The following is a 14,214-nucleotide window of genomic DNA, read 5'->3' on the forward strand; positions in this document are numbered from 1 at the left end:
GAAAAATACATGATTATTACTTTTATTTGGAGTTGCACCAATATTTTTGGTTCCTAAGACCAATGGATAACTCTCATCCTCTAAAAGTTGAGAAAACTATGTTGTTAGGCATGGAGGCATGAGTTAGCAGTTCTTGCAAACTTTATCGGTAAATAAGAAGTTGCGGACTTCTATTATTAGACCACAATCTAACATTTTGATTAAACTATATTTACAAGGTATAAGTCCTATAATAATTTTAGGATTTAGAGATAGTAAGAGAATTGGTGAAAGGTGTATGAGTATTAGTATGTTTTCTCGTGTAAAGGAAGGTTTAATGCTGTTAATATAGTATGTTAGTGTTCCTTGTTGTGTTGTGACAAGTATATAGAGGGAATAAAGGGCTGTGATTAATATATTAAGTCCTATAAGCATGATGGTAGTGTTTGATCAGGAGAATGAAGCCGTTGTTACAAGGAGTTCTCCTACTAGATTAATAGTGGGGGGTAGGGCAAGGTTGGTGAGATTTGCTGTAAGTCATCAAAAGGTTACTAGTGGAAGTAATGTTTGACGTCCTCGAGAGAGTAATATGATTCAGCTGTGGATTCACTTGTAGTTTGAATTTGCTAGGCAGAATAGTAGGGACGAAGTAAGTCCATGGGGAATTATGAGGATAATTGCACTGGTAAAACTTCAGGGGGTTTGAATGAGGATAGCCACAGTAACAAGTACCATGTGGCTTACGGAGGAATGTGCAATAAGTGACTTTAGATCAGTTTGTCGTAGACAGATGGAGCTTGTCATAATATGCCTCATAAGGATAATATCAGGAAAGGATAGGCTATATGTTCTGTCAGAGGGCTGAGGATGAGGGTAAGTCGCATTTTGTGTAGCCGCCCAATTTTAGGAGCACTGCTGCAAGTACTATTGAGCCAGCCTTAGGTGCTTATACATGGGCTTTGGGAAGTCATAGGTGAAGTCAGTATAGGGGTATTTTTACTATGAAGGCCATTATACATGCCAATCACATGAGATTGTTGGATCAGGAGATTGGTAGTTCTTGATATTAAATGTTATTATTATCATGCTCAGTGAGCCTAGGATATTTTGGGCATAAATAAGTGTAATAAGTAGGGGGAGGGATCCCACTAGTGTGTAAAATAAGAGATATGTACCTGCATTGAGGCGTTCTGGTTGGTTACCCCATCGGGTGATAATAATTAAGATAGGGATAAGTGTAGCTTCAAAGAGAATATAAAATATAATTAGTTCTGTGGCTGTAAATGCTATGATTAGAAAAATTTGTAGGGAAATTAATATGGAAATACAGGGTTTTTTCCATAGGGGTGATTCACTGGAGAGGTGGTACTGGCTTGCTATAGTTATAAGAGGTAGTAGTCAGGCTGTTAAGATTAGAAGGGGTGATGTTAGCGGATCAGAGGAGAAAGTTAATGAGAAGTTGAATAGATTGTCGTTGAATTAGTTAAAGAATAATAGGGCAATGAAGCTGGTGATTAGGCTGTGGGTAGCCATATTGATTCAAATTGTATAATTTTTAGAGAGTCATGTTATTGGTAGTAGTATAATTGTAGGAATAGTTATTTTTAGCATTGAAGTAAATTTAGGTTATGTATGTAGTCTAAGCCATATATGTTGGAAATTGAAAGTAGCAAAGCAAGGCCTACCCTGGCTTTGCAGGCAGCAAATACTGGTAGAGTAATGGGTATTACATTTGCTAGGGTGAAGTGTATATTTAAAGCTATAAGGGTATTTACTATGAATAATGATAATATTATTCCTTCTAGGCATAGGAGGGATGATATTAGGTGGGACTGATAGACTAATACCCCCAGAAGTGATATGATAAATGCTAATATGATACTTATGTAAATAGAGGGCATTTGGTAAGTATGTTCTATCATAATCTAATGAAATCATTTATTTTGCCTTAAACTACTTATTTTTTTCTTATACCTGTGGACCATTTGTATGTCTTCTTTTGAGAAATGTCTGTTAAAGTCTTTTGCCCATTTTTAAATGGGGTTATTTGTTTTTTTGCTGTTGAGTTATTTAAGTTCCTTATGTATTCTAAATATTAACTCCTTGTGAGATGTATAATTTGCAAATTTTTTTCCTATTTTGTAGGTTGTCTCTTCCCTCGGTTTTTTTTTTTTTTTTTTTTTTTTTGCCGTGCAAAAGGGTTTTAATTTGATGTAAACTCATTTGTCTATTTTTGCTTTTGTTGTCTGTGCTTTTGAAGTCTTGTTTTAAAAATCCTTGCCCAACCCAATGTCATGATATGTTTGCCCTGTTTTCTTGCAGCAGCTTCATAGTTTCAGGTTTTACATTTAAGTCTTACACATTTTGAGTTGGTTTTTGTTTATGGTGAGAGGTAAGTGGTTAGTCTCATTTTTCTGTGTATGGATATTCAATTTTCCCAGCACCGTTTTTTGAAGAGATTCTCTTTTACCTATTGTGTGTTCTGGGCACCTTTGTCAAAAATCAGTTGGCTGTAGGTGTGTGAATTTATTTCTGGGATCTATATTCTGTTCTATTGATCTATGTGTCTGTTTTTATACCACTACCATGCTGTTTTGGTAACTCTAGATTTGTAGTATATTTTGAAGTCAGGTGGTGGGATGCCTCCAGTTTTGTTCTTTTTGCTCAGCATTGCTTTCACTATTTGGGGTCTTTTGTGGTTCCATATACATTTTAGGGTTTTTTTCCCTATTTATGTGAAGAATGTAATTTTTTTGTTTGTTTTTGTTTTGTTTTGTTTTAGAGATGGGGTCTTGTTATGTTGTCCAGGCTAGACTTGAACTCCTGGGCTCAAGCAATCCTCCCACCTCAGACTCCTGAGTAGCTAGGACTACAGGCATTTGCCACTGCACTTGGCTTGTCACTGGTATTTTGATAGGGACTGCATTAAATCTGTAGGTCACCTTGGGTAGTATGGTCATTTTAACAAGATTATTCTTCTAACCCATGAACACGAGATATCTTTCCATTTATTTGTGTCCTCTTCACTTTCTTTCATCAATGTTTTATAGTTTTCAGTGTTTAATATTTAAGTTAATGATATTTTAATTGTTTAATATTTATTTAATAATTTTATTATTCAATTATTATTTAATATTAATTTAAATAATATTTAAATTAATAAGAAAAAATTAGCCAGGTGTGGTGGCATGCACCTGTAGTCCTAGCTATTAGGGAGTCTGAAGTGGGAGGATTGCTTAAGCCCAGAAGTTTGAGGCTGTAGTGAACTACAATCGCATTACCGCATTCTAGCCTGGGCAACAGAGCGAGATCCTGTCTCTAACAAAAAGAGGCAATTTCAGGAAGTGATCCCTGCCATGAACAAATCAAAACAGGATAATGGTAGTTTCTTGGTGGAGGTAATATTTCAGGTGAGACTAAATGATAAGAAGGAAACAGACACAGGAAGATTTGGGAATAGAGAGCAGGTGCAAAGCAAGATGCAGGGATTGAGAGCAGGTAAGGGCCTGCATCCCTTCCCTGAAAAATAGTGATAGTTAAGGATGAGGGGATGAGAGTAGTCATACTAATACTAAAAATGATGGTCAGCAGAACAGTGTAGCCAGTGTTCTAAGTGCTTGACCCAATATACATCCTTTAATGCTCTCGGCAACCCCTAAGATGGGGACTGTTATGGTTCCTATTTTAGAGCTGGGAAAACCGAGGCATGGAGCAGTGAGTAACCAGCCTAAGAGCACACAATGAATGAATGATGGAGCCACAATTTAAAATTGAATGTGTTTTCAGAACCTGTGCTTGCTTCCAGTGATATGTATTGCCTACCCTGAGAACGTTCTGCTAAATGCTATATGTCCTGCAAGCCCAGGCTCAAATGCTACCATCTGCATGAAGCCTTCTCTCTCCCTCCCAACCAGAAATGCATTCTCCTCTGAACTTGCAGTGGAACCTTGACCTTTCATTTGGTGTTGACCACATTCTGCCTTGTGTTATGAATATTGTGTATATGCCATCCTCGGTAAATGTTTCATATCTGCATTCTAAGTGGTTAACTTCAGGAATTGTGTCATGTCTATCTTTGTATCTCTCCCAAGACTACAGATAGAGAGGGCATTGTTGGTATCTGTGGCATCTGCTGCATATTTGTTGATCTAAGACCTGGTACATGGTACCTGGTGTCTTTTCTAAGACCTGGTGTGTGGTTTCTACCTCCTGACTGAAAAAAGTTTCTTCTCTGGGCCAGGCACAGTGGCTCATGCCTGTAATCCCAGCACTTTGGGAGGCCGAGGTGGGTGGATCACCTGAGGTCAGGGGTTCGAGACCAGCCTGGGCAAGCAATATGGTGAAACCCCATCTTTACTAATTAGCCAATTGTGGTGGCAGGCACCTGTAATCCCAGCTACTCGGGAGGCTGAGGCATGAGAATCACTTGAATCCAGGAGGTGGAGGCTGCAGTGAGCTGAGATCACACCACTGCACTCCAGCCTGGGCGACAGAGTGAGACTCCGTAAAAAAAAATTTTGTTTTCTTCTTTGTTGCAGACATGAAGACATCTTATCCATCCTCACTGCTGTCAACGATGATGTGAGTCGAAGAGTGGACAAACAGGGAACAAAGAAACAGATGCCCCAGCCTGCTTTCACACTAAGGAAAAAACTAGTATTCCCTGTGCCCCTGGATGCACTTTCATTATAGCAGAGAGTTTTTGTTGGTTCTTAGACCTCAAACGAATCATTGGCTATAACCTCCAGCCTCCTGCCCAGCACAGGAATCGGTGGTCTCCACCTGTCATTCTAGAAACAGGAAACACCGTGTTTTCTGACACAGTCAATTCTGATTTTCTTTTTCTTTTGCAAGTCTAAATGTTAGAAAACTTTCTTTTTTTTGGAGATAGTCTCATTCTGTCACCCAGACTGGAGTGCAGGGGGGCAATCACGGCTCACTGTAGTCTCGACCTCCCAGGCTCAAGCTGTCCTCCCGCCTCAGCTTCCCAAGTAGCTGGGACCACAGGTGTGTACCACCGTGCCCGGATTTTTTTTATTCTTTATTTTTTGTAGAGATGGAGGGATCTCACTTTGTTGCACAGGCTGGTTTCAAACTCCTAGGCCCAAGTGATCCTCCCACCTCTGTCCCCAAAATACTGGGATTATAGGCACGAGCCACCACACCTGGCCAGAAAACTTTCATTATTGAAGACTTGGATTGTAGCCTTGGTTTTGGATGTCTATTCTGAAGACAGAGTAATTGGCTTTGGTTTGTGCAGGTACTTTTTCTTTGAGACAGAGTCACTCCGTCACCTGGGCTGGAGTGCAGTGGTGGGATCACTGTTCACTGCAGCCTTGACCTCCCAGGTTCAAGCGATCCTCCCACCTCAGCCTCCCAAGTAGCTGAGACTACAGGTGTGTGTCCATGCACAGCTAACTTTTTATTTTTTTTGTGGAGATGGGGTTTCACTATGTTGCCTAAGCTGGTCTCAAACTCCTGGGCTCAAGCGATCCTCCCACCTCAGCTTCTCAAAGTTCTGGGACTACAGGCATGAAATACTGTGCCTGGCCTGGGGACCAGGTGCATTTTAAGGTTCCTTGGTGTTCAAAAACCACGTTCTTAGCCTAGATTGAGCTTAGATTGCCTCTCTAGACAACTACCCCTTAGTTATAATTCTGTGTCCCCTCTGCATGCCCTTAAACATTGGACAGTGAGGTCACAGTCCACCCACCCTCTCTCTGATCTCCCCCTTCCTAAGACTTCTCTTTTGCACATCTAGTGAGGTGAAAATTTGGTCTATGCCAGGCCCATTTCCTGCTTTTGTGTAAGGAAGGTGCTCACATAGGAAGTTTTTATTTGGTTAGAGACAGGTTTCCCTGTAGGAAGATGATGGCTCATTTACACTCAGCTGCTCTGCAAGCAGAAACTTTACAACCTGATGTCATATTCCATTTTGGACTGGGTGCGGTGACTCATGCCTGTAATCCCAGTACTCTGGGAAGCCAAGGCAGGCAGATCACTTGAGGTCAGGAGTTCGAGACCAGCCTGGCCAATACGGCAAAACCTCATCATTACTAAAAACACAAAAATTAGCCAGGTGTGGCGGCGAGCACCTGTAATCCCAGCTACTCGGGAGGCTGAGACAGGAGAATCTCTTGAATCCAGGAGGCAGAGGCTGTGGTGAGCCAAGATGACACAACTGCACTCCAGCTTGGGCAACAGGGCGAGACCTTGTTTAAAAAAAAAATTCAATATTGGGGTTGGAACATTTCAGTTGCCATTGACAGAACACCCAATTCAAATTGACTGAAGCAAAGAAGGGAATTTATTGCCTCTTTCACATTGAAACCCAGGAGTGGATAACACTGGCTTCAGGCAAAGCTTGAATCAGGACTCAATCTACAGGCCAGCACCTTTCTCTTGGCCGGATGTCCTCAGGGCTGGCAGATGCAGTAGACTGCAGTGGACAGTCCCCACCTTGTTACTGCTACTACACTTTGCTCCTCTGGCCCAAGGCATGAGGAGAGAGGCTGTGTCAGAAACTGAAGCTGTTCTCAGGATCACTGGGCTCTTCTTGGCAGAGGGGATGTCTGGCTTGCCTGAAGGGAGTGGCTCTGTAAGGACGCCTTGATGCTTTCTTCATTAAGATTTTGAGCATTTTTACGTACTTGAGCTTTTTTTTTTTTTTTTTTCAATTTCTAGAGGAACTTTTTCTCTGTTAATTCCTGGAACTGTATTTTGAATCCTTAAAGGTGAGCCCTCATAGGGAGATCCAAAGTCCTGTGGTTAACGCCTTCATTTATAGATGAGGCAGCTGAGGCCTGGGGATGTGAACAACCTGCTCACAGTCCTCATTTACTGGATTTGACTTCAGCCAGGTGAACTGGAATGCCTTGGGGCGTGGAAGGGCATTAGGAGTGTTTCATTTGATATGTGAATGCTCATAAAAAAATGTCAAGGAATGAAGAACAACAACTCTCAGTGGTGCCTGCATTTATAATTATTTATGTGAAAGTCAAATTCATGTACAGTAAATTTGTTATAAGAATATTCACAAGAACACTGTTCTGATATCTCTGATTGTCATGTGGATTTGAATGTAGCTTGACAGAGGGAATGTCTAATCTATATTGACAGGGCAGGAACACCGTCATCTTAGACAAACACCGCCACTTTAAGTTCCAGTTCCCTTTCTAGCCTCATGCATTTCAAGGAAATCACTTCTTTTCTAACAGCGAGCAGCCAGAAAGAGAAGAGAGTAAAATACAGATAAGACAGCTCTGGCATAGAGGGAGGTGGGGGGGTGGGGGAAGTCTCTTGGGTAACTGCCAAACTTTGCCTTCATACAATGGGTTCCAGGAAAACAATGAGCCTTAATAAGCACATTCCTTTCCCTTCAGGTGCACTAAGTGGGGAAGCTAAAAGCAGACTGGAGGGGGGTGGGGTGTACCTACAGCTGCAGAAATATTGTATGGGAACGGACACACAACTCTCCCTCCCAGATAAGCACAGCAAAGAGACATAGAAGCAATCCAAGCCTCTGATAAACTCTCCCACCCTAAATCCTTAAAAACTCTTAGTCTGTAAGTGAGTGGGCTCTGACCTAACTCGGCCAGAAGCCCCTTTCAAATTTGTTTTCTCTAAAATAAACCTGTCCTTGGCTGTCAAGCCACCTTTCATGTTTCTTTCCTCTTTCTTTAATTCTTACACATGTGTCAGGATGATCTCCCAAAACCGTGTTCATAACAGTCAGGGCCAAAAGCTAGTGGTCACAGTCCTTGTCCAGTTGGCAGAACTGACATGTGAAGGCAAGTGAAGGATGGTGAGATACTGAGGAAAGAGCAAAGGATCTGGAGATCAAAGCCCTGCATTTCCATTTTGTCCTGATTCCTTTGCTCAGAGACACTAACTAAATCAAGCTAGCTTTTTTCAGCCTTGTCTGTAAAGTAGAGAAAACATTAGCTGTTGGGAAGACGAAAAAGAATGTGTCCTATGTGTGCATCTATTTAAATCTAACTGTGCTGAGGTGCATATAAATGCCTTTAGGTGGTAGGGTCTTCCGGTTGTAACTGCAACAGAAATAGCAGGACTTAAGTTCCTTTGTGCGTAATTCCAGCTGACTTTATTAGCGGCAACTCAGCACTAGCATTACCCCTGACATACTCTGAGTAAGATCTAATTCTTCCCTCACTGGTTCGTGATGTCTACCGCAGCAGAAGGCCAGCTCTTGACTCTGAGTTCAGTTGGACAAAATGCTGTTGATAAAACCTCCTGTCAGGCCTCTGAGCCCAAGCTAAGCCATCATATCCCTTGTGACCTGCACATATATATCCAGATGGCCTGAAGTAACTGAAGAATCACAAAAGAAGTGAAAATGGCCTGTTCCTGCCTTAACTGATGACATTACCTTGTGAAATTCCTTCTCCTGGCTCATCCTGGCTCAAAAGCTCCCCCAGTGAGCACCTTGTGACCCCCATCCCTGCCAGCCAGAGAACAACCCCCTTTGACTGTAATTTTCCACTACTTACCCAAATCCTATAAAACGGCCCCACCCCTATCTCCCTTCACTGACTTTCTTTTCGGACTCAGCCCACCTGCACCCAGGTGATTAAAAAGCTTTATTGCTCACACAAAGCCTGTTTGGTTGTCTCTTCACAAGGACGCGAGTGAAACCTCCTTCATCAGGAGCATTTGGGGTTTGATGTTTAAGTTTTGGGCCTCTGGTGTATTTCATATTTCTGTTTTGCTAGAACTTAGTGCTTGTGCAAGGTTAAATTCTAGAATCAGGAAACGTTGTTTTTAGGGGCCTTCAGCAAGCACTTCGGAGGTCCCTGGACGTTTACAGCTGTGAGTCGTGGATCTACCCAGACATCAGAACATAGTCATCCTTGGCTCATTCCTCCTCCGTAGGAGGGGTACACAGTTGGTAGAGTGTGCCCTCCAAGATTTCGTGAAACATTATGCTTGTCTGTATTTGTGTGTGCATGTCTGCGTGAATTTTGAGTTCAGGAATAACAGGTGATTTGATCACAGCTATTTGACAGTGGTGATAGTCATTGTATGCCAAGATGTTTATGAGGGGAATAGGTAGATTGAGTGAGGTTCATGTATATTTTGCCTAGTTGTACTCACCTACAAGAGCTGTAATTAAATGTTTCTCTCTTTCCCCTTCCTCTCTTTTATTCATTCTTTTTTTTTTTTTTTTGACAAAGTCTCGCTCTCTCACCCAGGCTAGAGTGTAGTGGTGTGATCTTGGCTTACTGCAACCTTCGTCTCCTGGGTTCAAGCGATTCTCCTGCCTCCGCCTCCTGAGTAGCTGGGATTACAGGTGTGCACCACCATGCCTGGCTAATTTTCATATTTCTAGTAGAAACAGGGTTTTGCCATTTTGGCCAGGCTGGTCTCGAACTCCTGACCTCAAGTGATCTGCCCACTTTGGCCTCCCAATGGAATGAACCATTGTGTCTGGCCTCATTCATTCTTTCTTTCATAAAAGTTTGGATACTGCCAAACAAAATTAAAGACATGAAGACATTTGATAAATTGTTATTACAAATGTGACAGTTATTTAACTACTGGTGTTTATTTTTATTAGAGTCATAGCACCTACTGGCCTCTGCTTCAGGGATTCACAATGGTGTTGGGCAGGTTGGATATCATGGGGCTTACCCTTAGCAAGGCATTCTATTCCACCTATGCCCAGGCGGTGTAAAACATATAAGCATCTGGTACGCTGTGGTACCGACCCAGTGACTGGTATAACACAATGGTTAAGGTTGCCAAATAGCAACCCTTAATCAATAATGATCAAATCTCCACGGAGGTAAACTAAACTAGAAGTTTACCTCATACAGGTAATTTTTGTGCCATACATGATTCACAGAACCTTCCAGATCTGATGCTTTCTGAGTGATCTGGTCAATTTGTTCTCAACCTGGAATTCTTGGGCCCTTAGGTGTTTGTAAATTTGTTCTCAGAGACTCTGAGCTCTCCACCTTCATTTTTAAGTGCTTTAATTCTTTTTGGTGATAATCTTTAAAACTTCACAGAGGTGTGTCCTGGCTCTTTGGGGCGACTGCTTCATATTTGAGTACTGCCACACAATGACAGCTCATGTTCTGGGGCCTGCCTACAGAAAGGGATGAACTTTATCTTGGACCTTTTAATGTAGTGTGGATGGGCGTCTGTAGCTGGAGGTCTTCAGGTGCCAGTGGTTAATCTGTTTGAAGCTTGCTTCACTCCAACCTCTCATTCTGTAACAGACTCCTCCTCCACCGTCCCTCACCTCTGCTGAACCCTTCTAGCAGAGGGAACTCACCACAAGTGGGGGATGGATTTGGGAGCTTGAAAGGACCCCAATGACCCTGCAGTCCAGCCCTCAAAGTGCTAAGTGACTTACTGAAGCCTCGAAGCCATTTCTGGAGGATTTGCAATTCTTTGTATCTCTGGATTTGCTGCCCTGTCCCTCCAAGCCACCTGGTTTCACTTTTGGACAGCTTTAAGTGTTCTCTTCTCTGTTCTCTGTTTCTGCCTTCTTAGAAACTATTTAAAACCACTCATTTTCATTCTAAACTCCGGAGCCATACCAAACAACTGTAACTGTCCTCTGGTGAGATTTGCGTTGTATGTGACAAATCTTTTAACTTTTTTCTGTTAGGGTTTCAGTTTTGTTGGAAGTCTGCAGTTTGCTCTTAAGGATGTGATAAGAATGTAACAACACATTTGTATCTTTGAATTTTGAATAGGAACCAAATTTTTAAATTTAGTTTAGTTTTGTTTTGTTTGAGACAGAGTCTCACTGTGTCACCCAGGCTGGAGTACAGTGATATCATCTTGGCTAACTGCAGCCTCTGCCTCCTGTGCTCAACTGATCCTCCCACCTGAACCTCCTGAGTGGCAGCTGGGGCTACAGGCAGGTGTTTTTTAAAAATGGAACTCTTTTCTTTTTTTTTTTTTTTGAGACGGAGTCTTGCTATGTTGCCCAGGCTGGAGTGCAGTGGCTCGATCTTGGCTCACTGCAAGCTCTGCCTCCCAGGTTCATGCCATTCTCCTGCCTCAGCCTCCCGAGTAGCTGGGACTATGGGCGCCCGCTACCACGCCCAGCTAATTTTTTATATTTTTAGTAGAGACAGGGTTTCACCATGTTAGCCAGGATGGTCTCAATCTCCTGACCTCGTGATCCGCCCGCCTTGGCCTTCCAAAGTGCTGGGATTACAAGCGTGAGCCACCGTGCCTGGCCAAAAAAAAATGGAACTCTTAATACATTAGAAAAAAAATGAAATCCCTTTTAAAAAGCACTAGAGGAAATTCTGTGTTTAAAGATTTACTTATTTGGCAATGCAAACAACTGTTTATTTCCTAACATAACTTTTGCAAATCTGAATTTTTATGAAAAGATTTTTAAATTAAAAATTTTAAATTGTACTAATTTTTACTTTTTAAGTAATTTTGAGTAGGTAATATTTTTATAAAGATATTTGTATGGTTTGAAGATAAGAAAATTAAAGGTGTTCAAGAAGAGTTTTGCCCCCAGTTCTGTCCACTGTATACCCAGTCCTCCCCACTTCTGCATACATATTTCAGACAGGTATTTCTTGGAAGAAAGAACATATGCTGTGAAACTTACATGTCTCAGTAGGTCTCATTTTAAGTGATTCTGTAAAATGCCTGGGAAATACTGGTGAAATTCTAGAATGGAAATAACTTTGTGAGATTTTGAGCTGAGTACTGGTAAATAGTAGAAATGGACTTACTAATAAATAAGGGAATTTTATTTGATAACTTTTTTCTGATTACATAGTAATGTATGTTCATTATGGAATATTTGGGAAATACAAAAACACACCAAGAAAAAAGTATATTTATTTATAATTCTATTTTGCTATGTATTTTCCCATTATTCACTCTGTGTTTGTCACAGATTTTTCCCCACCCTTTTTCAATGAGTGTATCCTCCATGTCCCCCCAATCATGCATCCAGTAAACTTTGTCATTACTACCATCTGTACTTTCACTCACGTTTCAATTCCAAGCATGTCCCTCTCTGACAACCACCTCCCATCATTCCATCTTGCTTCTTCTAGGACCTTCCCTTCAAGGATCTTCAGTGCCACCAGGGCTTCCAGTTAGGTTGACTGACCCTATCTATTGTCTTCCCGATGTCAGCACCGCCCCTCACTCCCTCTTCATTCAGCTTAGAGTCCATGTGTCTTTGTTAAAGTCTCCTGTACCCACCAACACCCTTGCCTTTCTGTCAGTTCCACTGAGGTGGTAGAATCCCAACTCTGGTTAATCCTATAAATCCTTGTCCTCCAAATTTGTACTGGAATTCCAGGATGTGGCTGGGGTAAAAACCTTCCATGTTGCAGACAGGTCTCGTTTCAAACCAATGACCACAAACCTCCAATGGGCTTTCAGGGGTTTCGGCAATGCTGTGACATTTCCCTGGTTATATCACCCTTTTGCACTCTCGGTCTGTTTTACTAATCATCGAATTCTCTATGATCTCAACCTAAAAGGTTAGAGATATTTCCTGAGAAGCCCCACCTTTTCTCTTGATAACCCACTATGGAGCTGTCATTTGTGAATTTAAGAAGAAACACTTGCCTCTTGACTATTTTAAAACATCAAAAACAACATTTAAAAATTGAAGGATGAGGCCGGGGTGTGGTGGCTCGCGCCTGTAATCCCAGAACTTTGGGAGGCCGAGGCAGGCGGATCACCTGAGGTCAGGAGTTCAAGACCAGCCTGGCCAACTTGGTGAAACCTGTCTGTACTAAAAAAAATTAGCTGGGCATGGTGGCGCACACCTGTGATCCTAGCTACATGGGAGGCTGGGGCATGAGAATTGCTTGACTCTGGCAGGTGGAGGTTGCAGTGAGCCAAGATCATGCCACTGCACTCCAGCCTGGGTGATAGAGTGAGACTCTGTCTCAAAACAAAAACAAAAACAAAACCTGAGGGATGAGCCACAAACTGGGAAATGATATCTGCCACGTTGTATAACTGATAAAGGAGATATATGTACATATACTATATATATAATCTTCTATAAATCCATAAAATATTAAACAATCCAACCTAGATGGGCAAAAATATAAACTAGTTCAAAGATGAGCAAAAAATATGAACCAGTAATTAAAAGGAAATACCAATGAGCAATAAATATATGAAAACATAACCATTCTCTTTGGTCATCAGAGAATTTGAAAAATACAGCCACAGTGAGATAGCATTTTATGTCCATCATATTATCAACATTTAAAACTCTGTCAGTACCAAGTGTGGGTGAAGATACAGAGCAAAGGGAACTCTATTACATCGATCTAGGAAATGTAAATTGACACAATCATTTTAGAGAGCAATTTGCAATATTTATAAATGTTGGAAATTTGCACACAGTAAAATCTAGCAATTCCATTTTTGGATCTATGTCCCAAAATAAACTTAAAAACATTGTTTTGTAGAGACAGGGTCTTGTTATGTTGTGCAGGAAGGTCTTGAACTCCTGGCCTCAAGCAATCTTCCTGCCTCAGCCTCCCAAAGTATTGAAATTATAGGCGTGAGCCACCACGCCTGGCCCCAAAAGAAATCTTGCACAGGTACCAGGAGATAAGGAGGAAGTGTTAGTTTTCTGAGCAGCATTGTTTGTAAAAGTACAAAAAAAAAAATGAAAAGAAGCAACACAAACAATCTATATATTCATCAAGAGGAGGATAGATAAATTGTGGTATAGTCATATAAAGGAATACTATCAAGTAGTGAAATAAAATCAATTAGAATTATTAGGCTGAACCATATGAAATTGCCATTCTTCTAGATCAGAAACAACCAAATATTGGCAATTTCATACAGTTTAAATATATGTATCAGTAACATAATGCTGAGCAAATAATATATATAATATGATATGATTTATATAATGTTAAAATACACATAAGAGTCTTTTATGTTGCTTATAAATTAATATGTATATTGTACAAATATACAGATGCATGGGGGTGATGAGAAGTTTAGAGTAGTAGTTGCCTGGGATGGGATTGGGTCTTGGGGGGACAGGGGGGAACATGCCAATGGGGAGGAATTACAGGGGCTTCAAATGCATCAGTCATGTTTTATATCTTCAACTGAGTGCTAGATGTGGGGATATTCTCTTTTCTCTTTAATCCTTTTTGCGTCTCAGTGCTGATTAATGGAATTTAGCCACCAGATTGGGTGATTTTTTGGCTTGTTGAATAGTTGGCCAGGTTTGCA

At 41.2% G+C, this 14,214-nt stretch overlaps 1 protein-coding gene and 2 pseudogenes across 8 annotated transcripts in view, besides 2 other annotated features; 1 reads left to right on the plus strand and 2 right to left on the minus strand.

Annotated features, from left to right (window-relative positions):
* CASP10 (caspase 10) overlaps positions 1-14,214 on the plus strand; it is a 46,266-nt gene that overhangs the window by 29,930 nt on the left and 2,122 nt on the right. For 6 of the 8 annotated variants that reach the window (NM_032977.4, NM_032976.4, NM_001206524.2 and 3 more), the window contains one exon: positions 4,518-8,595. The exons of the other annotated variants lie outside the window; for them this stretch is intronic. In NM_032977.4, coding sequence (NP_116759.2) covers positions 4,518-4,671 — 154 coding nt within the window. In that variant the 3' untranslated portion in view covers positions 4,672-8,595. Of the gene's footprint in view, positions 1-4,517; positions 8,596-14,214 lie in introns of those variants that run through there. 8 annotated transcript variants of the gene reach the window in all.
* MTND4P23 (MT-ND4 pseudogene 23) lies at positions 223-1,590 on the minus strand (annotated as a pseudogene).
* On the minus strand, positions 1,583-1,880 carry MTND4LP13 (MT-ND4L pseudogene 13; annotated as a pseudogene).
* Positions 6,366-6,910: an enhancer, noted in NCBI's record as "NANOG-H3K27ac-H3K4me1 hESC enhancer chr2:202084159-202084703 (GRCh37/hg19 assembly coordinates)". NCBI's record gives its function as "activates a minimal SCP1, AML or CMV promoter by ChIP-STARR-seq in primed H9 embryonic stem cells {active_cell/tissue: H9 hESC(primed)}" and the evidence as "EXISTENCE:reporter gene assay evidence [ECO:0000049][PMID:30033119]".
* Positions 10,182-10,451: an enhancer, noted in NCBI's record as "active region_16982". NCBI's record gives its function as "activates an Ori minimal core promoter by ATAC-STARR-seq in GM12878 lymphoblastoid cells {active_cell/tissue: GM12878}" and the evidence as "EXISTENCE:reporter gene assay evidence [ECO:0000049][PMID:35858748]".

The sequence above is a fragment of the Homo sapiens genome, chromosome 2 (genome assembly GCF_000001405.40).
Source record: "Homo sapiens chromosome 2, GRCh38.p14 Primary Assembly".
NCBI classification, from domain to species: Eukaryota; Metazoa; Chordata; class Mammalia; order Primates; family Hominidae; genus Homo; species Homo sapiens.